The sequence below is a fragment of the Homo sapiens genome, chromosome 17 (genome assembly GCF_000001405.40).
Source record: "Homo sapiens chromosome 17, GRCh38.p14 Primary Assembly".
NCBI lineage: Eukaryota > Metazoa > Chordata > Mammalia > Primates > Hominidae > Homo > Homo sapiens.
Genome location: NC_000017.11, coordinates 50,411,960 through 50,439,435, shown reverse-complemented (window position 1 = coordinate 50,439,435; position 27,476 = coordinate 50,411,960). Strand labels below are relative to the sequence as shown.

The 27,476-nt window shown below is 45.5% G+C and overlaps 1 protein-coding gene across 12 annotated transcripts in view, besides 5 other annotated features; it reads right to left on the bottom strand.

Moving 5' to 3' along the window:
* ACSF2 (acyl-CoA synthetase family member 2) overlaps positions 1–13,218 on the bottom strand; it is a 48,628-nt gene extending 35,410 nt beyond the window's left edge. For 11 of the 12 annotated variants that reach the window (XR_007065473.1, XR_007065474.1, XR_934566.4 and 8 more), the window contains exon 1: positions 13,047–13,218. Coding sequence is in view for 6 of the 12 variants with exons in the window: in NM_025149.6 (NP_079425.3) it covers positions 13,047–13,174 (128 nt within the window). In the remaining 6 variants the exon portion in view is untranslated. Of the gene's footprint in view, positions 1–12,456; positions 12,532–13,046 lie in introns of all 12 variants that reach the window. The other variant, NM_001288968.2, reaches the window with a different exon arrangement.
* Positions 7,491–8,186: an enhancer, noted in NCBI's record as "NANOG-H3K4me1 hESC enhancer chr17:48508611-48509306 (GRCh37/hg19 assembly coordinates)". NCBI's record gives its function as "activates a minimal SCP1, AML or CMV promoter by ChIP-STARR-seq in primed H9 embryonic stem cells {active_cell/tissue: H9 hESC(primed)}" and the evidence as "EXISTENCE:reporter gene assay evidence [ECO:0000049][PMID:30033119]".
* Positions 13,086–13,405: a silencer, noted in NCBI's record as "silent region_8698". NCBI's record gives its function as "represses an Ori minimal core promoter by ATAC-STARR-seq in GM12878 lymphoblastoid cells {active_cell/tissue: GM12878}" and the evidence as "EXISTENCE:reporter gene assay evidence [ECO:0000049][PMID:35858748]".
* Positions 13,086–13,686: a biological region, named in NCBI's record as "H3K27ac-H3K4me1 hESC enhancer GRCh37_chr17:48503111-48503655".
* Positions 13,142–13,686: an enhancer, noted in NCBI's record as "H3K27ac-H3K4me1 hESC enhancer chr17:48503111-48503655 (GRCh37/hg19 assembly coordinates)". NCBI's record gives its function as "activates a minimal SCP1, AML or CMV promoter by ChIP-STARR-seq in primed H9 embryonic stem cells {active_cell/tissue: H9 hESC(primed)}" and the evidence as "EXISTENCE:reporter gene assay evidence [ECO:0000049][PMID:30033119]".
* Positions 26,874–27,168: a silencer, noted in NCBI's record as "tiled region #13074; HepG2 Repressive non-DNase unmatched - State 23:Low". NCBI's record gives its function as "represses a minimal TATA promoter and a strong SV40 promoter by Sharpr-MPRA in HepG2 cells {active_cell/tissue: HepG2}" and the evidence as "EXISTENCE:reporter gene assay evidence [ECO:0000049][PMID:27701403]".

Genomic DNA, 27,476 nt, shown 5'->3' with positions numbered 1-27,476 from the left:
CTGTATGAAAGAAGAAAAGAACTATGATACTATTTTTGCTGAAATTATAAAAGCATAATAATGCTGGACACGGTGGCTCATGCCTGTGATCCCAGCACTTTGGGAGGTCAAAGTGGGAAGACTGCTTGTGCCCAGGAGTTTGAGACCAGCCTGGGCAACATAGCAAGACCATCTCTAAAAAAAAAAAAAAAAAAAAAAAAAAAGCTGTGTGGTAGCATGCACCTGTCGTTCCAGCTGCTCGGGAGGTTGAACTGGGAGGATCACTTGAGCCCAGGAGGTTGAGGCTGCAGTGAGCCATGATGGCGTCATTGCACTCCAGCAGCCTGGGAGACAGCAAGACCCTGTCTCTTGAAAAAAAAAAGGCATAAAATATGTATTGTTTATTGATACACAAAAAAATCCAAGACTAAGAGCACTTATTACTCACATAACATGATTCTAAGTACTTTCCATGTTTAAACAAATATAAACTTTAAAAACAGATCAAATGATACAAGATATAGTCAGCCCTCTGTATCCATGGTTTCTGCATCTGTGGATTCAATCAACCTTAGATTGAAAAATACTGGGGCCAGGTATGGTAGCTCAGGCCTGTAATCTTAGCACTTTGGGAGTCGGAGACAGGTGGATCACCTGAGATCAGGAGTTTGAGACCAGCCCGGCCAATATGGTGAAACCCCATGTCTACTAAAAATCCAAAAATTAGCCAGGTGTGGTGGCAGACGCCTATAATCCCAGCTACTCGGGAGGCTGAGGCAGGAGCATCTCTTGAACCTGGGAGGTGGAGGTTGCAGTGAGCCTAGACAGCGCTGTCGTACTCCAGCCTGGGTGACAGAGTGAGACTCCATCTCCCAAAAAAAAAGAAAAAGAAAAATATTTGGAAAAAAAAATTCCACAAAGTTCTGAAAAGCAAACTGCCACTGAGCCCAGCAGCAGACACTTTAAAGTCCAGCAATGCTAAATATTTGCAAGGATGTGGGGAAACAGCAAAACTTGGTTGCTGCTGGTGGTCACGGTAGCACAGTCTCACCAGAGCAATACGTAAAAAAGCTGAAAATGTCAACTCTTCAGCACAGCAATTTCACTGCTAGAGATACAGTCATAGGATGGACTGCTATACAGCAGGTAAAACTAATATCTTAGATCTTGAGCTTGCTGCTTACTAAGTACTATGTTGAATCCACACAAATGAAGTGATGTGTAGATACTGTATTAGGTATTATAAGTAGTCTAGAGATTATCTAAAGTACATAGGAGGATGCACATAGGTTATATGGCACCATTTTATATCATAGGCTTGAGCATCCAAGGATTTTGGTATACAAGGGAGGTCCTGGAACCAACCCCCCATAGATACTGGGGGACAACTGTACTATTTATGGATTCAGAGACATGCTAAAAGTATAAAATGTGCTTCAGCACAACATATATTAAATTTATGATGGTGGCTCTCTGGTGGGGGTCAGCTGCAGGAGGGACAGAAAAGGGACTTCAATTTGATCTGTAGTGTTTTCTTTCATTTATAATTTTTCTGAAAACAAGAAAGGTTAAATTTTTATTCCCTGTCAGACACACAGGTGTTTGTTATTTTTCCATGTAATTGTGTTTCAAATTTTTTTTCACATGAAAGTTTTAAGAGGGAAAATACAAGGAGCTTGATGATCTCCTACTAAGGGTGTCTACAATATCCAAAAGATGAAGCAACTTCCTAGCATGGGCAGGAGACCCACAGCGCCTGTTATGTAAAGGGTCAAGGTCAAGACCAACTTTTTTTTTTTTTGAGACAGGGTCTCACTCTGTTGCCCAGGCTGGAGTGCAATGGCGTGATCACGGCCCACTGCAGCCTGAAACTTCTAGGCTCAAGTGATCCTCCTGTCTCAACCTCCTAGTAGCTGGGACCACAGGCAGGAGCCACACGCTCAGCTGGGATTTATTTATTTATTTATTTAGTAGAGACAGGGTCTTGCTGTGTTGCCCAGGCTGGTCTCAAACTCCTGGCCTCAAGCAACCCTCCCACTCCAGCCTCCTAAAGTGTAGGGATTACAGGCGTAAGCCATTGTGCCTAGCCAAGACCAACATTTATGCAATAAGCAAGAGCCCTCACTTGTCCATGAAATTCACATGCTGTACTCATAGCTAAGTCCTCAGTCCTCATTCAACATATTCACTCTTGTGTTATAGCTCATTGGTCCAATATATCTCCTAGCTCATGGCAGTCGAAAGGCAGGCTCTCCCTTCCCGTCTCCCTTGCACACCACTGAAAGTTTTGTGATCTCATTCTTCTAGTCCATGTGCCACTCGCCAAGCCACATGCCATGGGGCTGCATCCTCTTGGGGGGCTCCTTTGCCTAATTTGCACAGACACTAGGCTAGTGGTTGACCTTCCAGTGGTCGTTGATATGGGAGTAGAGATGGCCAATGCTTGTGCAGGAAGGACAATGCTGAACTGCTGAGTCTGAACCTGTAATAGCTGTTTTATCTTGAAATAAAATTATAATTTTTATGTACCTGAATAAATAGGTGATATATTTATACTAGTTACAATGTGCAACTATTGTTCAAGACAAAGGTGCTGTTGTGACAAATAAAATCCCAAAAAGATCACTACTAAATGGTCATTTTCTTAATTGATGGCCATTTTAATGCATGAGGGCCATTAAAAGCATAAAAAGAGCCTCAGGAAAAAAAAAAAAAAAAGAACTGCCTGGGCATGGTGGCTCACACCTGTAATCCCAGCACTTTGGGAGGCCGAGGTAGGTGGATCACCTGAGGTCAGGAGTTCAAGATCAGCCTGACCAACATGGCGAAACCCTGTCTCTACTAAAAATACAAAAAATAGCTGAGTGTGGTGGCACATGCCTGTAATCCCAGCTACTCGGGAGGCTGAGGCAGGAAAACTTACTTGAAATCGGAAGGCAGAGGTTGCAGTGATCCGAGATTGCACCATTGCACTCCAGCCTGGGCAACAAGAGTGAAACTCTGTCGCAGGAAAATAATAACAACAACAGGCCGGGCGTGGTGGCTCACGCCTGTAATCCCAGCACTTTGGGAGGCCAAGGCAGGTGGATCACAAGGTCAGGAGATCGAGACCAACTTAGCTAACACGGTGAAACCCCGTCTCTACTAAAAATACAAAAAATTAGCCAGGCGTGGTGGCAGGCGCCTGTAGTCCCAGCTACTCGGGAGGCTGAGGCAGGAGAATGGCGTGAACCCGGTAGGCGGAGGTTGCAGTGAGCCGAGATCGCGCCACTGCACTCCAGCCTGGGCAACAGAGCGAGACTCCGTCTCGAAAAATAAAAAATAAAAAAAATAAAAAATAACAACAACAACAACAACAAAAATGAACTCTGACTAAGTCTCACATTCTATATAAGCAAAAATAAAATGAATCAGACTTAAGTGTAAAAAAAAATTATAAAATCTTCTGGATCTAGAGCTAGGCAAAAAGTTATTAGGCTTGACACCAAAAGCAAGATCCATTAAAAACAAACAAACAACAAAAAAAAACACTCACTGAGCGCTGGGTGCAGTGGCATGCACCTGTAATCCTAGCTACTTGGGAGGCTGAGGCAGGAGAATTGCTTGAACCGAGGAGTTGGAGACCAGCCTGGGCAACATAATGAGATCCCATCTAAAAAAAAAAACTCACTAAACTAGACTTTATAAACTAGACTTAATAAATTAGACTTTATAAAAAAATTTTTTTAAATTGCTATATGGGCTGGGCATAGTGGCTCACGTCTGTAAAGTAATCTTAGCACTTTGGGAGGCTGAGGTGGGAAAATCACTTGAGCACAGGAGTTGGAGACCAGCCTAGGCAACACAGTGCCATCCATCTCTATGAAAAAATTTTTTAAATTAGCTGGGCTTTGTGGCGTGTACCCATAGTCCTACGTACTTGGAAGGCTGAGGCAGGAGGATCACTTGAGCCCAGGAGGTTGAGGCTGCACTGAGCCGTGGTTGCACCACTGTGCTCCAGCCAGGGTGACAGAGTGAGGCCTTTCTCAAAAAATTAAAAAAAAAAAAGGATTAAAAAATTTTGCTCTGCAAAAGACCCTTTTAAGAGGATGAAAAAAAGCTACAAAGTGGGGAAAAACATTTGTAAGCCACATGTCTGACAAAGGAATAATACTAGAATACATACAGAACTCTGAAACATTGAGCTGTTTAATACGTAAAACTCACTTTTGTGAGTTTTTGTCAAGGTTAATGAGCTGCTCCTCCCAAAAGCACTCCTTGGCTTCTGAGCAAAAAAAGCCAGACACAGGCCAGGCACGGTGGCTCACGCCTGTAATCCCAGCACTTTGGGAGGCCGAGACGGGCAAATCACCTGAGGTCGGGAGTTTGAGACCAGCTTGACCAACATGGAGAAATCCCATCTCTACTAAAAATACAAAATAAGTCAGGCGTGGTGGCACATGCGGGTAATCCCAGCTACTTGGGAGGCTGAGGCAGGAGAATCGCATGAACCTGGGAGGCGGAGGTTGTGATGAGCCAAGATTGCGCCATTGCACTCCAGCCTGGGCAACAACAGTGAAACTCTGTCTCAAAATAAAAAAAAGAAAAAAAAAAGATCTGTGCAGTTTACTGTATGTAATTATATCATAAAGCCCCATGATCTTTCTACCACTCGACATAACCACCCTGAGGAGTATGTGACCTCTGAAAAATACCAACTACAAAGAACAAACTACAAACGACTACAAAGACTAGTAAGGACTACAGTAAAAAAAAAAAAAATTATTTTTTTGAGACGGAGTTTTGCTCTTTTGCCCAGGCTGGAATGAGGTGGTGCTATCTCGGATCACTGCAACCTCCACCCACTGGGTTCAAGAGATTCTCCTGCCTCAGCCTCCCGAGTAGCTGGGATTACAGGTGCATGCCACCATGCCCAGCTAATTTTGTATTTTTAGTAGAGATGGGTTTTCGTCATGTTGGCCAGGCTGGTCTTGAACTCCTGACCTCAGGTGATCCACCTGCCTCAGCCTCCCAAAGTGCTGGGATTGCAGGCATGAGCCACCGCACCCAGCCCAGTAAAGATTTTGAACAAGATACTCTATATTGGTGGAAGCTTCCATTCTCAGCATCTTGTTTTGTTATTATTATTATTATTATTTGAGACATGCTCTCACCCTGTCACTGAGGCTAGAGTGTGGTGGCATGATCACGGCTCACTGCAGCCTCGACTTCCTGGGCTCAAGCAATCCTCCTGCCTCAGTCCCCCAGGAAGCTGGAACCACAAGCACATGCCACCACACCCAACTAATTTGTAAAAAGTATTATCTGTAGAGATGGGGTCTCCCTATGTTGCCCAGGCTGGTCTCAAACTTCTGGGCTCAAGCGATCCTCCCACCTCAGCCTCCCAAAGTGCTGAGTTATAGGTGTGAGCCACTGTGCCTGGCCCATTTTCAGCATCTTGAATGGAACCACTGGTGTGTTTGTAAGTATGTACAGAAAATACATAAGAAGTGATAATTTGGGTTTAGAAAACTCTCTCAAGAAGACATAGAAGGGCCAGTGCGGTGGGTCACACCTGTAATCCCAGCACTTTGGGAGGCTGAGTTGGGAGGATCGCTTGAGCCCAGCAGTTTGAGACCACCTGGGGCAACAAAGTGGAAATCTGTCTCTACCAAAACAAAATACAAAAAATTTAGCAAGGCATGGTGGTACACACCTGTAATCCCAGCTATTTGGGAGGCAGAGGTGGGCACATCACCTGAGACTGGGAGGTCAAGGCTACAGTGAGCCGTGATCACGCCACTGCACTCCATCCCAGGTGACAGAGTAGCCTGAAATACTTGGAGTCAGGAGGCATCCATGCTGCAGGTTTTCTTTTGGAATAGCTGGACAGAGACCCCAGGAGAAGAGTGCCTAGGAATCAGGGATGGGGGCTGAGTCAAGACACTTGTCCCTTGATAGGATTACTAAAATACATACAAGGCTAGATATTAGTTTTCTAGGAAGAAAACCTTTGAGGTAGCCAGGTGCACATGGTGGTTTGTGCTTGTAATCCCAGCTACTCAGGAGGCTGAGGAAGTAGGATTGTTTGAGTCCAGTAATCCCAGCATTTTGGAAGGCCAAGGCAGGCGGATCACGAGGTCAGGAGTTTGAGACCAGCCTGGCCAACATAGTGAAACCCCATCTCCACTAAAAATACAAAAAATTAGCTGGGCGTGGTGGCAGGTGTCTGTAATCCCAGCTACTTGGGAGGCTGAGGCAGGAGAATTGCTGAACCCAGGAGGCGGAGGTTACAGTGAGCCCAGATCGCGCCACTGTACTCCAGCCTGGTGATAGTGCGAGACTCCGTCTCAAAAAAAAAAAAAAGAAAAAGAAAAACATATTTAAGTGTGTGTGTGCGTGTGTGTGTATAAAACAAAACTTGATGCTTCTTTTTGCTCAGGGGACTACAGAATTACAGAATGTCAGGTTAGGAAGCTGCATACTCAGGGTTCATAAGAGACCAAGTGAAATTTCACACACGTATGAAGGCTGCATACTTCAAATCACAGCCTTATTGGGTTTAGGGATCAGGCTCAAACTCCAGCCTCTTTAGGAATCACAGAATCTTCTCCCAAAGGTAGAGCACATCTTGTCCAAACAGCCTATTTTACAAACAAACTAAGGTCTGCGGAGGTTCAGTAACTTGCCTAAAGCCACACTAAGTTAGGACTGGTAGGACTGGGATTTGCTTTCCCGTCAACTAACTCCCAAATGGAGGAATACATGCATGCCACTGAGGTTTATAAAGCACGATTTGTAAGCTAGAAATACAACATGTTTAGTTCTAAAGGGAGAGGCACTGGCAGAATTGTTCCTACCCTTCGTTATTAGAACAGTCCCATGGCAAGGCCAACCCAGAAGATGAAATTACAGCCTGCATGTTGGCCTGTTGAATGCATGACCAGCTTTATTCCCATCTTCAGCATAAGCTCAGGCCTGTCCACCCATCTCCAGCAGCCCCACCTTTGCTTAGGTAGTTTACCCTGCTGGAACCTTCTCCCTCCTACTCCCCAGACACAGTTACTATACTGTGGGCCTTGGGGTCACTGTAAGAATGGGCCAAGCCATCATTACACAAGCATTCCTGTAAAATAGCTCACCACTAGGACAGGTTGCTCACTGACCCATGCAATGGGATGAACATGTCCTTGGCATCAAACTGTGTGTTAAGCATTTTCTTATGGGACCTCATTTAACCCTCACAATGCACTATTTATACATAAGAAAAGTCAAGGCCAGGCGTGTGGCTCACACCTGTAATCCCAGCACTTTGGGAGGTGGCTGAGGCAGGCAGGTAACTTAAGCTCAGGAGTTCAAGACCAGCCTGGGCAACATGGCAAAACACCATCTCTACAAAAAAATACAAAAATTAGTTGGGTGTAGTGACGCAGGCCTGTAGTCCCAGCTACTGGGGAGGCTGAGATAGGAGGATCACTCAAGAGTTCGAGGCTGTAGTGAGCTGTGATCGTGCCACTGCACTCAGCCTAGGTGACAGAGCGAGACCTTGTCTCCACCAAAAAAAGAAAGAAAGAAAAAAAAAGTCAAGTTTAACTTAAGTAAAAAAACTACTCAGCTAGAAAGTGGTTCATTTGAATCCAGATCTGCCTGGCTCCAAAGTTTCATCTGTAGATTGAAGTAAAATAGAGGCCGGGATCAGCAGCTCACCCCTATAATCCCAGCACTTGAGGCCAAGGCAGGAGGATGGCTTGAGGCAGGGGTTTGAGACCAACCTGGGCAATACTTCATAACCCCATCTCTACAAAAAATTTTAAAATGATCTGGGTATGGTGGCACTTGCCTGTAGTCCTAGCTACTTGGGAGGCTGAGATGGGAGGAATGCTTGAGCCCAGAAGTTTGAGATTATAGCAAGCTATGATGGCACCAGGGTTCACAACGATTGAAGCACAAGTGAGATTTCACGGAAGTACAAAGGCTTCAAACTGCAGACCTAACCTTTCAGGGATCAGGTTCTAACCCCAGGCTCTTTGGGAAGTCTCCCCCTCCCATTTCCACAAACCAGATTCCTCCTGCTTTGATTGACATCTTTAATGGCACTGCAAACTTTCTGCCTTGAATCAGTGTGTCTATGGACTTCCCCTGTAGACTCCTTCTAGAAAAACAGCTCTGTCAATGAAAACAAACTCATTCATCTTTTTATTACCTTTACATGCTTCACAGTACACTGCAGCAATGTACAGCATTCAAAGCAGAGGAGGGTAACTAAAACAGATGTGTACCATTCACTGATTCCAGCAGCCAAGTTCATAGTTATTTTCTACTGTTACATTTAGACTGGAGGATCCCCAGTGGAATGCATAGGGATATCGTTACCAAATCATTCATAAATCATGTTTTGGAAATTATGGGAAGAGTCTATTTCTTGTAACTATTTATGGTTACCACCCATAACACTTCCAGGCTTAATACAAGGCGCTTGTATAGAAACAGCATTTTGTAGTTTTCCATGTGTGTGTAAACTGTTGGTCACAAGAACAGAAAAATAGCTCAGCAGCTGTCTGAGCTATGTGATGTATGCAAAATGTGTCAAGCCCAGAGAGACATGAGACTTCAGTCATGCTCCTTCCTTCCCAGGGACAATTGTTTAAAGGCATTTTGCTCCTAACTAGCTGCTTTACCCATTACTTTCATGTTAACAAAATTTGTGATACAAAGAACAAAGTATAATGAATCAATAGCTTATATCATTTTAATGTACATTCTTGGTAAATCACTTAGGAACTGTCTCTTCTTTTCATTTATTTATTTATTTAGAGACAGAGTCTCGCTCTGTCGCCCAGGTTGGAGTGCAGTGGCACAATCTCGGCTCACTGCAACCTTCTCCTCCCGGGTTTAAGCGATTCTCCTGCCTCAGCCTCCCAAGTAGCTGAAACTACAGGCGCCCGCCACCATGCCCAGCTAATTTTGTATTTTTAGTAGAGACAGGGTTTCACCATATTGGCCAGGCTGGTCTCGAACTCCTGACCTTGTGATCTGCCTGCCTCGGCCTCCCAAAGTGCCGGGATTACAGGTGTGAGCCACTGCACCCAGCCTTCTTTTCTTTTAAAAACCCACTTGTAACTGCTGCTCATCAGATCATATAATCAGGGCAACTTGAGTCTATGCTCCCGGTTGCAGTCTGCAAACATGGCCCAAATAAATCTCTCTACTTATATTACTTTGGCCTCAGATTTTTCCCTTAGGTCCACAGTCTTATATGATCATAGCCATCCCCATGGAGGGTGGTCCACAAAGCCCCCTTACCCCTCTGTCCCCACCATCAGCACCAAGTCACTGGATCCCCAGCTCTGAGCACCACACCTAATTCTGAGAGGCTTTAGCCACTGATCTCTCTGCCTTCCCAGCTCTGAGTGTTCTCAACACCCTGGATGCAGCTGCCTCATAGGCAGCCCCAGGCCAGCTTTAGGGCAGGTCTGGGGGAAGCCTGCTCAGCCCAGGTTTCTCCTTGAATTCCTTCCTTGGAGGTTCACTGAAGCCCCAGACTAAGCCATCCACCTTCTTTGGGGAAGGAGGCACATAGATAGGGGGAAGGAGTTGGTCGTGAGGAGTTCTGGAGAGCAAAGGACAGCTTTTTCTTTCCTTCTGGGGAGAAAGACTCTGGGCCGGGCGTGGTGGCTCACGCCTGTAATCCCAGCACTTTAGGAGGCTGAGGCAGGTGGATTACTTGAGTTCAGGAGTTTGAGACTAGTCTGACCAACATGGTGAAACCCCATCTCCACTAAAAATACAAAATTAGCTGGGCGGGTGGCGCACACCGGTAATCCCAGCTACTTGGGAGGCTGAGGCAGGAGAACTGCTTGAACCCAGGAGGCGGAGGTTACAGTGACCTGAGATCATGCCATTGCACTCCAGCCTGGGGCAACAAGAGCGAAATTCCACCTCAAATAAAAAAAAAAGAAAAAGAGAAAGACTCTGAACAGCCCTGCGTCAAACGGAGAGGAGGACGTCCAGCAGACCCAAGGACTGGACATGTAGCTGGGTGGAAGTCACCATCTTGGCAATCAGCTAGGAGAAATAATTGGGTTCCAGAAAGAGGCCACCAATCAGGGGATCCTCTCCTACTTTCAAATCAGTCAGAATTCCCACCCAGACACCAGTCAAGGGTTTCCAGGGATCAGCCCTGCCTCAAAGGAAAGGCTGAGAACAAGAGCAAGCTTGTTTTATTCATCAGCCCAACAACACAGCAAGAAGGTAGTAAGTAATGAACTAACTAGCTCAGAGGTTAGATAACATGCCCGAGGTCATACAACCAACAGGGAGAGGACCCAGGGCTGTCATCCAGGATAGTCTAACTTCAAAGCCCTTGCTCTTTTCTCTCAGGCAAAACCAGGGTCTGGTAAGTAATAGGCCTGGGTGTTGGGCAACAGGAAAGCAGGCTGTGTGTGAGCAGATCGGAGAAAACAGAGGACGAAAGTCCAAGCGCATTCCTCACCATGGCACTTGCAACACCGAATAGTGCTCACCTTGATTTATTTCTCCTCCTACGAGGCTGCAAGTTCCTGGCAGGGTGAGGACTGAGTTCTGTGGCCTCTATATGCACAGCATGTGCTAGCATGACGCAGAATCTGTTCTCAGGAATGTTTGCTGATGGTTTCAGCCCTGAGGCTTCTTTTTTCATTTTTATTTTTATTTTTTTGAGATGAAGTCTTTCTCTGTCACCCAGACTGGAGTGCAGTGGTGCAATCTCAGCTCAGTGCAACCTCCGCTTCCCAGGTTCAAGTAATTCTCCTGCCTCAGCCTCCCAAGTAGCTGGGATTACAGGCATGTGCCACCACGCCAGGCTAATTTTATATTTTTAGTAGAGATGGGGTTTCTCCATGTTGGCCAGTCTGATCTAACTCCTGACCTCAAGTGATCCGCCCACCTCAGCCTCCCAAAGTGCTGGGATTACAGGCATAAGCCACCATGCTTGGCCTTTATTTTTATTTATTTATTTTTGACATGGAGTCTCCCTCTGTCACCCAGGCTGGAGTGCAGAGGTGCAGTCTTGGCTCACTACAACCACCGCCTCCCAGGTTGGAGCAATTCTCCTGCCTCAGACACCCTAGTAGCTGGTATTACAGGCACATGCCACCACGCCCGGCTGATTTTTGTATTTTTAGTAGAAACGGGGTTTCACCATGTTGGCCAAACCGGTCTCCTGACTTCAAGTGATCTGCCTGCCTGGGCTTCCCAAAGTGCTGGGATTACAGGCATGAGCCACCCACCCAGCCTTTATTTTTATTTTTTGAGTCTAGGTTTTGCTCTGCTGCTCAGGCTAGAGTGCAGTGGCATGATGACGGCTCAATGCAGCCTTGAACTCCTGGGCTCAAGTGATCCTACCACCTCTGCTTTCCAAAGTGCTGAGATTACAGGCATAAACCACCTTGCCTGGCCTGAGCCCTGAGGCTTCTGAAGGGGAAAGTAGGAGAGAAATCAGGTAAAACCATCACAGTCAGACAATAAGGGTGCAGGCACAAGGGAGTGGAAGGGGCAGAAAGAAAGTAGGCCAAACACTCAGAAAATCATCTGTCTGGATAAATGAGTCTCCTCCTGACACAGCAATAAGAATTTCTCTGAAGCTTGGTGCTCTCAGAGGTCCCAGGGCTGTAGCAGGTAAGTGACCTGTTTTGTTTATAGATAAAAAAAAGTCAAAGGTCAGAAATGTTGCCATGTGGCCTGATTTATTACTTATTTATTGGTTTGTTTGTTTGTTTTCTATTGGGCAGCCTCCTGAGCCAGAGTAGGCTGAGAGACTTCCCCTGTGGCCTGATTTAGTGTGATAAAATATGTACACTTTGGGAAGTAACTTTCCTCAGAGTCCTCCCAGCCTGAGGGGGCAGCCATGAGTCCAGAGGAGAGGCTTAAGAGACTAGGGGGTCAGGGGAGGGCCGAACTTGTCTAGGGAGACCCTGGGAAGTAGTGAGTGACTTCCCAGGGTCACTGGGAAGAGGACCCCACTGTCCTCATCTCAATCCCATCTACTGACCAGCCTTGATCCACTTAGTTTTCTCAGCAAATTAGGCAGAGTGATGTTAAGGCATTGCATGCTTTCTAGCATTCAGAAATCAGCAAGTTCAGAAAGTGTGATCTTGGAGTTCTAGCCAAAAAGGAGTCTGCATGTCCCTCCAACTCTTCCTACTTAGCCTTTTTAAAAACAAAAACAAATCTAGTTCTCTGAGACACAGCTTTGTTCTGACTTCTCCCTTTTCCATGTCCAGGCCCACACCCCATCTGATGTTGCTGAAAGTGCTGTCCTGACCATAGACTTAGTATCTGGCCGAGTTGAGTGGTAGGACAGGCTCAGTAGTGCACAGGGCTCCCCAGTGGTGCTGCTGAAGCTAACAGCCCTGATAACATGAGTGGCAGCCTGCTCTCTGTGTCTCAAGCACTTTCACATTTGCCATCTCACGGGGTCCTCCCAAGGACTGGTCACACCGGGAAGGCAGCTTTACTTACTGTGCTGCTGCAGAGGCAGTGAAGCTACTGGGAACTGAAATCCTCTGCCTGCCAGCTTCCATCCCACCCCTTGCACTGAGGACAGAAGGAAATAGGCCCAGGAGTAGGCAGCAAAGAATTAAAGCCATGTTAGTGAGCAGCTGATGAGGAGACAGGAGACTGCTAAGTTTAGTGGCCTGGGTCGGGGAGACTGGGGCTGATCCCCAAGTTTGCCCATGAAGGGGTTCCAACTCAGAGGCAGTGTCCTGGGGGTACAGCCCAGGCCTTGGCCCTTGCCCCTCCCCATCGGAATATTCTCCTTAAAGCCCACACTCCTTGCCCTCTGTGCCCATAAAGGAGAAGGAATCGAGAGTCTTGGACCAGAACTCGAAGTCACTGCAGCCACCAACCAAAGCCCCCTCCCCACCCAAGTCCACCAGGCCAAGCCAGCTTTTCCTATTGCCTAGGTGCTGGCGGGGGGCGGGGGAGGGGCGGGTACCTTCCCCCCAGTGCACTCGTCCAGAGGTGGGGCTTCCGAAGCTCGCCGGGACCTCCAAGTTCCTCTCCCGGGGAACTGCCCCGCCCCCTCTCTTCCCGCGGGGGGCCAGTACCTGAGGAAGCGGACACCCTGCAACCTGGCTTCCTGCCAACTCCGAGAGAGGGCGGCCCGGGCCCCCAGCACCCCCGAGCTCCCGGCGCACAGCCTCCCCAGGCGCAGCATCCCGACGTAGACAGCCATGGCTCGCTTTGCCCTGCGTCCCGGCCCGAGTAAACTTTTAAAGTGAGCCGGGGCGGGGCGGGCGCGCAGCGGGCGGGGAGGCGGGGAGGGTGGCCTCTGCCTATGGGGTGCGGCGGATTCGGTCTCCGCCGGCGGGGCGGGGCGGGGCGCGGCGGCGGCGACTTCGCGCGGGGCCACCTTCCCCTCCGACCCCGCGGCCCTCCCCCTCCCACCCTCGAAGAATAGCCCTGGTTTCCTCTGGATCCGAAGGCCCCAGCTGCAGTCCGAAACAGATCTTCCTCGCGACCATCCTCAGGGGCCTGGATGTTAGAAGCGCAAAAATTTGTTGATTTCCTAGAGGGAGAGCCAGCAGCACATCCGTGAGGGGCCAGATGGCAAGGTCAAGATCCATCCATCCCCTGCCCCCTCGGGTCACGTGCTGGCCCCGCTACTTGCGAGCCGGGGGCCAAAGGAGCAGGCGCGAAGCGTCCTTGAGGCATGCCAGCTGGAGCAGAGGGCCCCGCGGGGTTGGGGAGGCAGCCAGAACAAAGGGTGTCGCGGGTGAGCCCCCTGCGGGCCCGCTGGCGCCAGAGTCCCAGCTGAGGCCAGATGTCAGCTTCAGAAGGAACACCAGTTGTACCCCATCTCACAGGAGGCATCCTCCCATCCCTCCTCGGCGCCTCTGCCTTGACCTTCTGCACAGGGTTGGGGGCCGGACACGTAAGGTGGCCTCAGGGACTGGGACCTGTGTATTTCATCCTCCATCTGCCTGTCTTGGGGCCTGTGGCACAGTTCCCTGTGCTGCCCCAGGTGTGAATGGAAAGCAACCCTATGCCCCTCCTTAGGGTTCCTGAGGCCCAGGGGTGAGTGGGGTACTAAGACCTGGGCAGAGCTGCGGGACAGAGAAGGTGATAGCTCTGGTCCTGGCTAGGAAAAGTGGCACTGGGCACCAAAGAGTAGCACAGTTTATACCTGTTCCAGGTCCACACTGCCTCGGCCTAGCCATGACTCTTCCTCTAGAGAAGGAGCTGGAGAAGAATGGGGCAAAGGCCCTGGCAGTGTGACCTCCCCTCTCCTGACTGGAGGAGATGAAGTAAACCCTGCCAGGCAGAAGGGGTGGCTGAGAGTGGAGCCTGGCCTGAGGTGACCTTTGCCCTTATCTGGGAACTCTGGCTCCACTTGGGTCATGAGAAGGAGTCCATGCTGGGCCTCTTTATGATCTTGAGCGTGACCTCAAATCCTCCCTGGAACCCCGGTTCCTAGGGAGGGTCCCCACACTTCAGTTTCTGTGGGGTTGGGGCAGGAAGAGACAGAGGAACAAAGAGATCACCGGAGGCTGGGCCTGCAAGGGTGTGCTTTCCTAATTAGACTAACTGTCTTTGATAGCGGACCAGGGAATGTGGAGGGCTGGGGCATTCACAAGTCTGGGTTCCCAGCCGTGGCTGGCAGGCTTAGCCTCTAGCATGCTGGGTGACCCTGGGTAAACCACTGTCCCTCTCTTGGCCTATGAAGTGTGGGGTGGGTACTGATCTTGTAGGTCCTTCCACTCTTCTGGCTAGTTTGAGGGTCAGTCCTAGAGTGGGAGAGAAGTGAGTTCCTCCTTGAACTTTGCTCCAGCCTCGGCTTTTCAAGACACTGGGCTTTCCTGACTCTTCCTAGGTGCACAGGCCGTGGCATCATAGCCATCAGTTTCAGGGTATCTTGTACATGCCAGGCTCTTCAAGGACATTTTCTCTGACCCTCACAAACACCCTGCAAGGAACAGGCATGGCTTGGAATGTGTCTTTGTTTTTATGGATGAAGAAACTGAATCCCAAAGAGGTTCAGCTTCTTAAACATAGGCCAAAGCTCTGCCAGTAGTCTCTTTGTGGCTTTGGGCAAGTCACGGGGCCTCTCCAGCCTCGTTATCTGTCAAATGGGGATAATAATACCAACTTCACGCAGAGGGCTGGGTAAGAATTGAGTAGGTGGCACAGAACTGGTAGTCGGCCAGTTTTCAGTGATTGTTTCTTTTTCCATCCTCTCCTTCCTCTTGTGTCTTCACTCTAAGACCTTCCTCTGTGTAGGAATTGCAAACCTTTTTTAGGAGGGAGAATTGTTTTATTTGTGCAAAGCCCTGGTAGGCACTGGTTCTGTGGATGGGGAGGAGGGCTGGGAGAAAGTCAAGACGGCTGGTGGAAGTCCGTGAGTCATGGTGGGGGAATCACGTTGACCCGCATTCTTTGGCTAGTATAAGGAAGTGGGGAGCAGGGCAGTGGGCCATCCAGGCTCTCCAGCTTCCCTTCCCTTCCCTTTAACCAATTAAATTCCCCGTTGCTCCCCAAGGGGCCTTCTGCCTGAGCCATCACATCTCCTTTATGCTGCATGTGACTTGCATGATTTATGGTCCCTGTAATTTGGCTCATGCCATTGGCTACCATGAGAAAGCCCTTATTCCCGCCCCTTTGCCCATGTCTTGCTTCTGTGCTTCAAAAGCAGGCTCAAAATGTAAACACCATTTATTGATTTTTTTTCTTTCATAACATCAACCTACAGAAGACCTAGTCACAGTTACAGAATAGAATGTAAATGTAAGTATCACTAACTTTGGAAGTTACATCTGATAGTAGTTGAGAGGGAAGGGGTGGGGGAGAGTATAAAATAAAAAAAAAGGGTATGTCATTATGTACAAAAATAATAATAAAACTATAGTACCAGCACTTAGGGAGGAGAGATGGGGTGCAAGTACCCATTTATCAAACAGAAAATCTAAAACTGGCAAAATAAGTATGTCATTTAGAGGCAAGTAGCAGAAGAAGATAAATCAGAAATCGTTACAATAGTTCAAATGATTCTCTTTGGACTTAAATAGATATTTCACCAAATAAATATATATATGTATGTATGTATGTATATATTGACCCCAAGAGTTTGAGGCTGCGGTGAGCTGAGATCACACCACTGCACTCCTGCCTGGGTGACAGAGCAAGACCCTGTCTCAAAAAAAAAAAAAGAACACCCGCAAAAAAACAGAAAATAACAAGTATTGGTGGGGTTGTGGAGAGACTGGACACGTGTGCATTGGGTGGTGGGAATGTAAAATGGGGCCACCACAGTGGATGGTATGGTGCTTCCTCAAAAAATTAAAAATGAGTTATATGATCCAGCAATTCTACTTCTGGGTATATACCCAAAATAATTGAAAGTCGGGACTCCAACAAACATTTGTGTACCAATGTTCACAACAGAATTGTTCCCAATAGCCAAAAGACAGACACAACCCAAATATTCATCAATGATTGAATGGATAAACAAATGCAGTAGATCCATACAATGGAATACTATTCAGCTTTCAAAAAAGGAAGGAAATTCCCACACATGCTACAGTCCACATGAACTTTGAACACATTGTGCTAAGTGAAATAAGCCAAACACAAAAGAATAAATACTGTATGATTCCATTCATATGCGACACCTAGAGTAGTCAAATTCTTAGAGACAAAGTGGAATGGTGGTTGCCAGGGGTTGGGGGTGTGGTGGGGGAATGGGGAGTTATTATTTGTTTAATGGGTATAGAGTTTCAGTTTAGGAAGGTGAAAGGTTTTTGGAGATGAATGGTGGTAATGGTTGTATACCAATGTGAATATACTTAATGCCACTGAACCATAACCTTAAAAATGGCTAAAATGATATATTTTATTTATGTCTATTTTTCCACAACTTTTAAAAAAGCTTTTCTTTGGGGCATAGCAGTGGGAGGAAGAGTGAGGGCAGAGAACAGGCTTTTGTTAAAAAAGCTCTTTTTGGCCTGGTGCGGTGGCTCACACCTGTAATCCCAGCACTTTGGGAGGCCGAGTCAGGCGGATCATGAGGTCAGGAGATCTAGACCATCCTGGCTAACACAGTGAAACCCTGTCTCTACTAAAAATATAAAAAATTAGCCAGGCGTGGTGGCGGGCGCCTGTAGTCCCAGCTACCCAGGAGGCTGAGGCAGGGGAATGGCGTGAACCCGGGAGGCAGAGCTTGCAGTGAGCCAAGGTGGCACCATTGCACTCCAGCCTGGGCGACAGAGCAAGACTCAGTCTCGGAAAAAAAAAAAAAAAAAAAAAAAGCTGTTTTCTTATATTATTTTCTAAGATGGTGTATATTATTTCTCTTAATAAAATTTTTTATTAACATGCCTGAGGGAGGCTTCAATCAGTTACAGGAACTAATGTGTTTGATGAGGTTTTCACTGTAAAAAAAATGAGTGCAAAGAGGTTACTTAGGCTTGGAATCAACTTCAGTGTCAGATCTGGAAAGAATCCAGCCCTAGTGCTTTTTCTGTCAATGACCTTGAGCAAATCCCTTTTCTCTGGTGTAATTTTTCATAGCTCTCTGTTGTAATTGACTGTCTCCAAGTAGTAAATAAAAAATGGCCCTTTTAAAGAATTTCCTTCACTGTGTGTTTGAGAACTGAGCTGTCTAATAAGAAATGCAGTGATCATGAAGGAGAGGTGGAAAAAAAAGAGAGACCGCTGGCAGCCACAGAAAGAAAAGGGGAGAGGAAGTTGAGGAAGGAAGTTTCAATTTTCAAAGATATTGAAATGACTTGGAACAGAATGTGTATATTCTGCTAATCAAGCCAATTAGATCCAGTAGCCAATATAAAAAAAAAGGCTAATAAAAATTGTTCTAAACACGGATGTTTCTCATTCTCAAACTCTCAAACTGAAAGTGAAAATAAGGAACTTGATTTGAACTGCTGTGTAGAGTCAAATTATCTTTTAGTTATCTTTTTTTTTTTTTTTTTTTTTAAGAGACTGTCTCACTCTCACTTGGGCTGGAGCTGGAGTGGTGCAGTAGGGCAATCATAGCTCACTGCAGCCTTGAACTCCTGGGGTCAAGTGATCCTCCCACCTCAGCCTCCTGAGTAGCTGGGATTACAGGCGCATGCCACCACACTGGGCTAATTTTTCTTTTTTTGTAGAGATGAGGATCTCAATGTGTTGCCCAGGCTGATTTTGATCTCCTGGGCTCAAGTGATCCTCCTGCTTCAGCCTCCCAAAGAGCTGGGATTCACAAGCAAGAGCCACCACACCCAGCTGAGTAAAATTATCTCGATCACGACTAACAATTGCTGCAGGCACAGGCAGACATGTTTTTAAATGATCAGTATTTTCTTGCTTACATCCCCAAATTGAAAACTAAGCCATAATCCCAGCAACTGCCAAAAAAACTGTGAAAGCCTTGCTTTTGTAAGAGGATAGGACAAAAATCTTTATTTGGATGGTGTAATATTTTACTTTTCTTGGGTCAAAGTCAAGAACTAAAGTCAACTGTGAAGTCTTGGATAAAGACCCAGTGTTAAACCAAATCTAATTTAACTTTCTTTTTTTATTCATTGGTTCAGCATTCATTCATTGAGTAACTACTTGCTGACAAGCATGATATGAATGAGACATGGTGTCTGCTCTCAATGAGCTCACTGTCTAGGAGAAAACACCAACCCTGAGACTGACAATGGCCTGCAGTGCGGCCAGTGCTGTGTGAGCAAGGCTAGGGGAGAGGCACCTACCCAAGGTGTGTTGCAGAAGGCCTCCTGGAGGTTTGCATCTAGTCCTGAGAAAGAAGCAGTGCGTCAGTTTCCTATTGCTGCTGGAACAAATTGCACACATGTAGTGGCTTAAAACCCCAGAAATTTATTGTCTTACAGTTCTGGAGGCCAGAAGTCTGAAGAGAGTCTTACGCAATTAAAATTAAAGTGTTGGGCTGGGCGCGGTGGCTCATGCCTGTAATCCCAGCAATTTGGGAGGCCAAGGTCAGGAGTTTGAGACCAGCTTGGTCAACATGGCGATAAGGGAGGAGACCACCCCTCATATTGTCTTATGCCCAATTTCTGCCTCCAAAGAAAGAAGAAATAAAAACTAAAAGGCAAAAATGAAATCCACAAGCAGACAGCCCAGCGCCACACCTGGGCCTGGTAGTTAAAGATCGACCCCTGACCTAATTGGTCATATTATCTATAGATTACAGACATTGTATAGAAAAGCACTGTGAAAATCCCTGTCCTGTTCTGTTCCGTTCTAATTACTGGTACATGCAGCCCCCAGTCACGTACCCCCTGCTTGCTCAATCGATCATGACCCTCTCACGTGGACCTCCTTAGAGTTGTGAGCCCTTAAAAGGGACAGGAATTGCTCACTTGGAGAGCTCGGTTGTTGGAGACGTGAGTCTTGCCGAAGCTCCCAGCCGAATAAAGCCCTTCCTTCTTTAACTCAGTGTCTGAGGGGTTTTGTCTGCAGCTTGTCACGCTTCATTTCTTGGTTCCCTGACCGGGAAGCATGGTGATGAATGGATGGTTGAGGCAGCCCCTTAGGTGGCTTAGGCCTGCCCTGTGGAGCATCCCTGCGGGGGACTCCAGCCAGCTTGAGCGATGCGGATCCTGAGAGCGATCCCAGGTAAGCAATTGCCCCGGTGGAACGCCTTGCCAGAGCAGCATGTGGCAGGCCCCCATGGAGGATCAACGCAGTGGCTGAACACCAGGAAGGAACTGGCACTTGGAGTCCAGACATCTGAAACTTGGTAAGACTAGTCTTTGGAACTTGCCCACTCCATTTGAGTGGAAGCGTGGCCTGATCACCCACAGTGTGCCTGTACCGGCACTTTGGTTTTTGTTTTTGACTTGACTTGGATTGCTTGGTACGTTGGTTTGGTTTTGGTTTTGACCTGGCTTGGATTTCTTGATACTCTGATTTTGTTTTTGATTCTGGTTTGGTGTAAACTGTAAAAGTGTGTGGGTGTCCTTTTTACCTGTTCTTTGTTTTGTGGTGTGCGTTTGGTGTGAGTATGGTGTTTTGTCTTGAAGAAGCATGGGTCAGGCACAAAGTAAGCCCACCCCACTAGGAACTATGTTGAAAATTTTCAAGAAAGGATTTAAGGGAGACTATGGAGTACTATGACACCATGAAAACTTAAAACTTTGTGGAAGATAGTCTGGCCAGCATTAGAGGTGGGTTGGCCATCAGAAGGAAGCCTGGACAGGTCCCTTGTTTCAAAGGTATGGCACAAGGTAACCTGTCAGCCAGGGCACCCAGACCAGTTCCCATACATAGACACTTGGTTACAGCTGGTTTTAGAACCCCCACCTCCCCACAGTGGTTGAAAGAACAGCAGCATAAGCAGCTGGCAGAGGCAAGGAAAGACCAGCAGAGAGAGAAAGAGGAAGAGAGAGAGACAAAGAGGGAGTCAAGGAAGGAGAGAGAGAGATAGAAAGAGAGAGGCAGAGAGAAAGAGACGCAAAAGAAAAGTCAAAGAGAAAAAGAGATAGAAAATCAAAGAGAGAAAGAAAGAGATATACAAGCAGTTAAGAAAAAAAACAGTGTACCCTAGTCCTTTAAAAGCCAAGGTAAATTTAAAACCTATAATTGATAATTGAAGGTATTCTCTGTAACCCTGTAACACTCCAATACCACTTCGCTGTCAGTGTAAACAAGGGTGTATCCTGAAAGCACTGAGGCCTTCCTATCAAAAATCCTTAACCCAGTAACCCGCGGATGGCCCAAATGCATTCAATCTGTAGCGGTAACTGCTTTGCTAACAGAAAAAAGTAAAAAAAATAACTTTTAGAGGAAACCTCCTTGTGAGCACACCTCACCAGTTCAGAAGTATCCTAAGGAAAAAAAAAAAAAAAAAAGGATGATTTAACATTAACCACTGAAAATTCCCTTAACCCAGCAGGTTTCCTAACAGGGGATCTAAATCTTAATTACCATACAAAGGTCCAACCAGACCTAGGAGGAACTCCCTTCAGGACAGGATGATGGATGTTTCCTCCCAGGTAATTGAAGGAAAAAAAAAAAGCCATCTATACCAATTCTAAGTTAATTTGGACAAAACAAGGTCTTATTAATAGCAAAGGATAATTAAAATCCCAAACTTACAAGGTTTTCAACAAAAGTAAAGTTTGCTAAAAGTTAACAGTGTAATATGTATTATAGTAACTTCTAATCTTGTGGCCTTAGTCTAGTCCACAGACATAAAAGAAGTTCGCTTTGGAAAAGAATGATTATCATCTTCGAAAAAAAAAGGGAAAAAAAGAGGGGGCAGAATTTATGTAAAAAGAGTGTTATATGGTAAACTCTTGTCCTGAAATAAATTAACTGATTGTTTTTAAAAAAATGTTTGTAATAAGTCAGAAAGTTAAGACATGTCAAAGAATTGTCTGCAAAAGTCGTGAAAGAAAAAAATGTTAAAAAAATTATGCAAGAAATGTTGTATAATTTAAAGGTAACTAGGCCTTCTGAATGTAAAACTATTGAAAAAAAAAGTTTATGTGCAAGGTGTATAAGGAAAGTAAAATATACCTTTGGTAAAAGGATTATAAGGAGGCATAAGAATGTAAATTTTTACCTACATTAAAAGGTTAAAAAAATTTTGTTTTGAAGGTTTAAGCAAGTTTTAAAACGTTAATTGTAAAGAAAATCCTGTGTGTAAGCATATTAGCTAAAGTTAAAGGGGTATCATTCAGTTTTTCTGTGAACTGGACATTAAAGTAAAAACACAACTGGTTTTTCTTAAAGCACTAACCTGCTCTTTAACAAAAATTATAAAAGGTTAAAAAGAGTCTATAAAAATCTTACCTTATGGTCCGACATTAAAAATTGAATAAATATGTATACAAAGTTTTATTAAAACTAAATTTAACATTAATAGCACACTAATATAAAGGTGAAATTTAGTTTATCTAGTATAAAAATCATACAAGAAGCATTATTAAATATAAAATGGTGTTTGGCTTTCTTTGGTCTAAAAACTAATACAAATAGGTGCTAAAGGAAATTTCTCAGTAAGAAGTCACCAAAGACTATAAAGTCCACTGTTGATGTCCCCACATTTACAACAAAAAGTCAATTTCTTAGAAATTATATACTTGGTTTATCTTCCACTTTCCTTTCCCTCAAAACTAAAAGTCTTTTAGCACAGGTACCACCCCTAGAATTTCCAGTAAACCAGCACCAGCCTGAAGATCACTTTCTTATCAAAGGGTGGAAAGAAGAAAAACTCAGGCTAGCCTAGGAAGGACCCTACCTTGTGCTGTTAACCTCTGAGACTGCTGTTCATACAGCGAAAAAGGGATGGACTCATCACACCCGAGTCAAAGCGCCACCCCCTCCAGAGTCGTGGGCCACTGTCCCAGGGGAAAACCCTACCAAACTAAAGCTAAGAAAAATTTAACTCATTCATCTATTCTATTACTCTTTCTTCTTTTCTTGCTCTATTGCTGACCATCTGGTTATTAACATAACCAAGTCGATTTAGCCTCAAACTATTGCATTTAATGTTTGCCTTGTTATACCCTGTGGGGACTTGCCAAGTCAAAGACAGCTCTCTACTTCAGAAAAGTACCTCTGTCCCTCCTGACTCCCCTCAGACTGGGCATTAGTAAATTAGGACCATTTAATCTGGGGAAATTTCGATAAAGACTCCAGTGTCAACCAGGAGTCTTGCTCCCCAATGTAGAGCTTTTATGCCGTAGTTGGTCCAACATTCTGTGGACCACTAAAGAGCAAGGATGGACTGCCCCAACCGGTTTGTGTAATTTCCCAAAATCATACACTCATTTTACTAGAGGATCATAGAAGTTAAAGACTTAAAACAAACTTTGGCAATTAAGACAGCATACCAGGATGCAAATGCCTCATTGGAATGGATCAAATTTTCCATCCACATGTTAAACAAAAGCAATTGTTATGCTTGTGCACATGGCAGGCCAGAGGCCCAGATTGTTCCCTTTCTGCTAAGGTGGTCCTCCAGTCGACCAGGCATGGGCTGCCTGGTAGCTCTTTTCCAGGATTCTACAGTCTGGAGTAATAAGTCGTGCCAAGCTCTCTCTGCTATATCTGGCACCCTGCGGTCAGCGGGTCAGCCCCCAAGGGCCATCCAGCCTCCATCTCCCAACACTAAGTTCACTTCGTGTCTCTCATGACAGGGAGGAAACTTAGCATTCCTTAGAGACCTGAAGGGATGTAGTGAGCTTAAAAATTTTCAAGAGCTTATCAATCAGTCAGCCCTTGTTCATCCCCGAGCAGATGTGTGGTGGTATTGTGGTGGACCTTTACTGGGCACTCTGCCGAATAACTGGAGTGGCACTTGTACTTTAGTCCAATTGGCTATCCCTTTCACCCTGGCATTTCATCAACTAGAAGGAGAAAAAATAAGGCATCATAAAGCGAGAGAAGCCCCTTATGGGTCTTTTGACTCTCATGTCGATTTAGACACAACTGGAGTCCTATGGAGAATACCAGATCAATTTAAATCTTGAAATCAAATAGCTGCAGGATTTGAGTCAATATTTTGGTAGGTGACAGTTAATAAAAATATAAATTGGATAAATTACATCTATTACAACCAACAGCAACGAGCTTTTCATGAGTTAAAAGAAAAACTCATGTCGGCCCCAGCCTGGGGTCTACCTGACCTGACAAACCCTTTACACCCTATGTGTCAAAAAGAGAAAAAATGGCAGTTGGAGTTTTAACCTAGGCTGTGGGGCCCTGGCCAAGACCAATGGCCTATTTCTCAAAACAACTAGAAGGGGTTTCCAAAGGCTGGCCCCCATGTTTAAGCGCCCTGGCAGCAACAGCCGTGTTAGCACAAGAAGCAGATAAACTAACCCTTGGGCAAAACCTGAATATACAGGCCACCCATGCTGTGGTAACTTTAATGACTACCAAAGGACATCATTGGTTAACAAATGCTAGATTAACCAAGTACCAAAGCTTGCTATGTGAAAATCCTCGCATAACCATTGAAGTTTGCAACAACCTAAACCCCGCCACCTTGCTGCTGGTATCAGAGAGCCCAGTTGAACATAACTGTGTAGAGGTGTTGGACTCAGTTTATTCTACCAGGCCCAACCTCCAAAACCATCCTTGAACATCAGTAGACTGTGAGCGGTACGTAGACGGGAGCAGCTTCGCCAACCTCTGCAAAGTGACTCTGAAGAAGACGACAAGCCCTGCTCCACTCACACCCGGAAGCTGACTGGTCCACATACAGCTGAAGCATGAGAAAACTCATCATGGGACTCATTTGCCTTAAAATTTGGACTTGTACAGTAAGGACTTTAACTGACCTTCCTCAGACTGGGGACTGCTCCCAGTGCATACATCAAGTCACTGAGGTAGGACAAAAAGTTGCTATAGTCTTATTATTTTATGATTATTATAAGTGTACTGGGACTCTAAAAAAAAAACTTGTTTGTATAATGCTATGTTTGTATAATGCTATTCTATGCAAGGTATGTAGCCCAGGAAATGAGCAACCTCGTGTGTGTTATGACCCATCTGAGCCTCCCATGACCACAGTTTTTGAAATAAGATTAAGGACTGAGGACTGGTGAAGGCTCATAAATGATACGAGTAAGGTGTCAGCCAAAACAAAAGAAAAAGGGGTGCCCAAACAAGTCACCTTAAAGTTTGATGCCTGCGCTGTCATTAATAGTAATAAGTTAGAAATAGGATGTGATTCTCTTAATTAAGGAAGAGACTGTATAGAAGAAAATAAGTACATTTGTCATGAATTAGGACCATGTGGAAATAATGTGGATACTGTTCTTGTGTCATTTAGGCTACTTGGATAAAAAATAAAAAGGATCCTGTCCACCTTCAGAAAGGGAAAACTGGCCCTTCCTGTGCCAGTGGTCAGTGTAACACCTTAGAATTGGTAATAACCAACCCCCTTGATCCTCACTGGAAAAAGGGAAGTGTGTAACCCTAGGAATCGATGGGGCTGGACTGGATCCTCAAGTAAATATCGTGGTTTGAGGAATTTATAAACCCTCTCCTTAGCCAGTATTTCAAACCTTCTGTGATAAACTGACTGTGCCAGTACCAGAAATTCCAGGAAAAACAAGAAATTTGTTTTTGCAATTAGCTGAGCATTTAGCCCAGTCTCTCAATGTCACTTCATGTTATGTATGTAGATATGTAGAGGAACTGTAATGGGAGATCAATGGCCATAGGAAGCCTGAGAATTAGTACCTACAGACCCAGTTCCTGATGAATTCCTGGCTCAAAATAATCACCCTGATAACTTCTAGGTCCTAAAAGCCTCAATCATTAGACAATACTGTATAGCAAGAGTAAGGAAGGACTTCACCCTTCCTGTGGGAAGACTCTGCTGCCTTGGGCAAAAACTGTATAATAATACTACAAAAACAGCCACCTAGTGGAGTTCAAACCACACTAAGAAAAATCCATTTAGTAAATTCCCGAAGTTGCAAACTGTGTGAACCCACCCGGAGTCCCACTGGGACTGGACAGCCCCCACTGGACTATACTGGATATGTGGGCATAGAGCTTATACCAAATTACCCGACCAGTGGGCAGGTAGTTGTGTTCCTGGCACTATTAAACCATCTTTCTTCCTACTGCCCATAAAGACAGGCGAACTCCTGGGCTTCCCTGTCTGTGCTTCCCGCAAAAATAGAAGCATAACTAGAAAATTAAAAAGATGATAAATGGCCCCCTGAGAGAATCATACAATATTATAGGCCTGGTACTTAGGCACAAGACAGCTCGTGGGGATACCCGACTCCCATTTACGTGCTCAACCGAATCACACAGTTACAAGTTGTCTTAGAAATAATCACTAATAAGACTGGCAGGGCCTTGACTATTCTGGCCTGGCAAGAAACTCAGATGAGAAATGCTATCTATCAAAATAGATTAGCTCTCGACTACTTGCTAGCAGCTGAAGGAGGGGTCTGTAGGAAATTTAACCCTACTAATTGCTGCCTACACATAGATGATCAAGGGCAAGTAGTTGAAGACATAGTTAGAAATATGACAAAACTGGCACATGTGCCTGTGCAAGTGTGGCATGGATTTGATCCTGACGCCATGTTTGGAAAATGGTTCCCAGCATTAAGAAGATTTAAAACTCTTGTAATAAGAGTTATAATAGTAATAGAAACCTACTTGCTGCTCCCTTGTTTGCTACCTGTACTTCTTCAAATGATAAAAAGCTTCATCACTACCTTAGTTCACCAAAATGCTTCAGCACAAGTGTACTATATGAATTACTATCGATCTGTCTTGCAAGAAGACATAGGTAATAAAAATGAAAGTGAGAACTCCCACTATTGAGTGAGATTATCAAAGGGGGGGAATAAGGGAGGAGACCACCCCTCATATTGTCTTATGCCCAATTTCTGCCTCCAAAGAAAGAAGAAGTAAAAACTAAAAGGCAGAAATGAAATCCACAGGCAGACAGCCCGGCACCACACCCTGGGCCTGGTAGTTAAAGATTGACCCCTGACTTAATTGGTTATGTTATCTATAGATTACAGACATTATATAGAAAAGCACTGTGAAAATCCCTGTCCTGTTCTGTTCTGTTCTAATTACCAGTGCATGCAGCACCCAGTCACATACCCCCTGCTTGCTCAATCAATCACGACCCTCTCATGTGGACCCACTTAGAGTTGTGAGCCCTTAAAAGGGACAGGAATTGCTCACTTGGAGAGCTCGGTCATTGGAGACATGACTCTTGCTGAAGCTCCTGGCCGAATAAAGCCCTTCCTTCTTTAACTCAGTGTCTGAGGGGTTTTGTTTGTGGCTTGTCCTGCTACAGCAATGCTCCATCTCTATTAAAAATATAAAAATTAGCTGGGCATGGTGGCACACACCTGTAATCTCAGCTCCTCGGGAAGCTAAGGTACAAGAATCGCTTGAAGCCGGGAGGCAGAGGTTGCAGTGGGCAGAGATCAGTCACACCACTGCACTCCAGCCTGGGCAATAAAGTGAGACTCTGTCTTAAACAAAATTAAATAAATAAATAAAATCAAGGTGTTGGCAGGGCTAGTTCCTTAGAGGGGAACCAGAGAAGAATCCATTCTTTGTCTCTTACAGCACCTAGTGACTCCAGTTGTTCTTTGGCTTGTTGCCACATCACTCCAATCTCTGCATCTGTGCTCACATTTCCTCCTCTTCTCTGTCGGATCTCCCTCTGTCTTCCTTGTTTTATTTTTTTGAAGTAGGTAGTGCCTTCCCTCATGGTCTTGGCATGCCTTTGATGAGCAAGGAAAGCCTTTCTCTGGAAACCCCCAGCAGACTCCTCTTGAGCTCCTCTGCTATCACTGCTACCCATGCCAACAACTAATGCAAAGCGGGACATAGTGCTATGGGCATCAGAAGAATGGCTCACTTTTGGTCAGGGTGATCAGGTAAGACTTCTTAGAGGAGGTGGTATTTGGACTGGACTTTGAAGGATGAAAAGGATGGTGACCATGGAAAGGGAGGAAGGAGAGGACATTCCAAATGGAATGAACAGAGGGGAGAAGGCAGGAATAAGGAAGAGA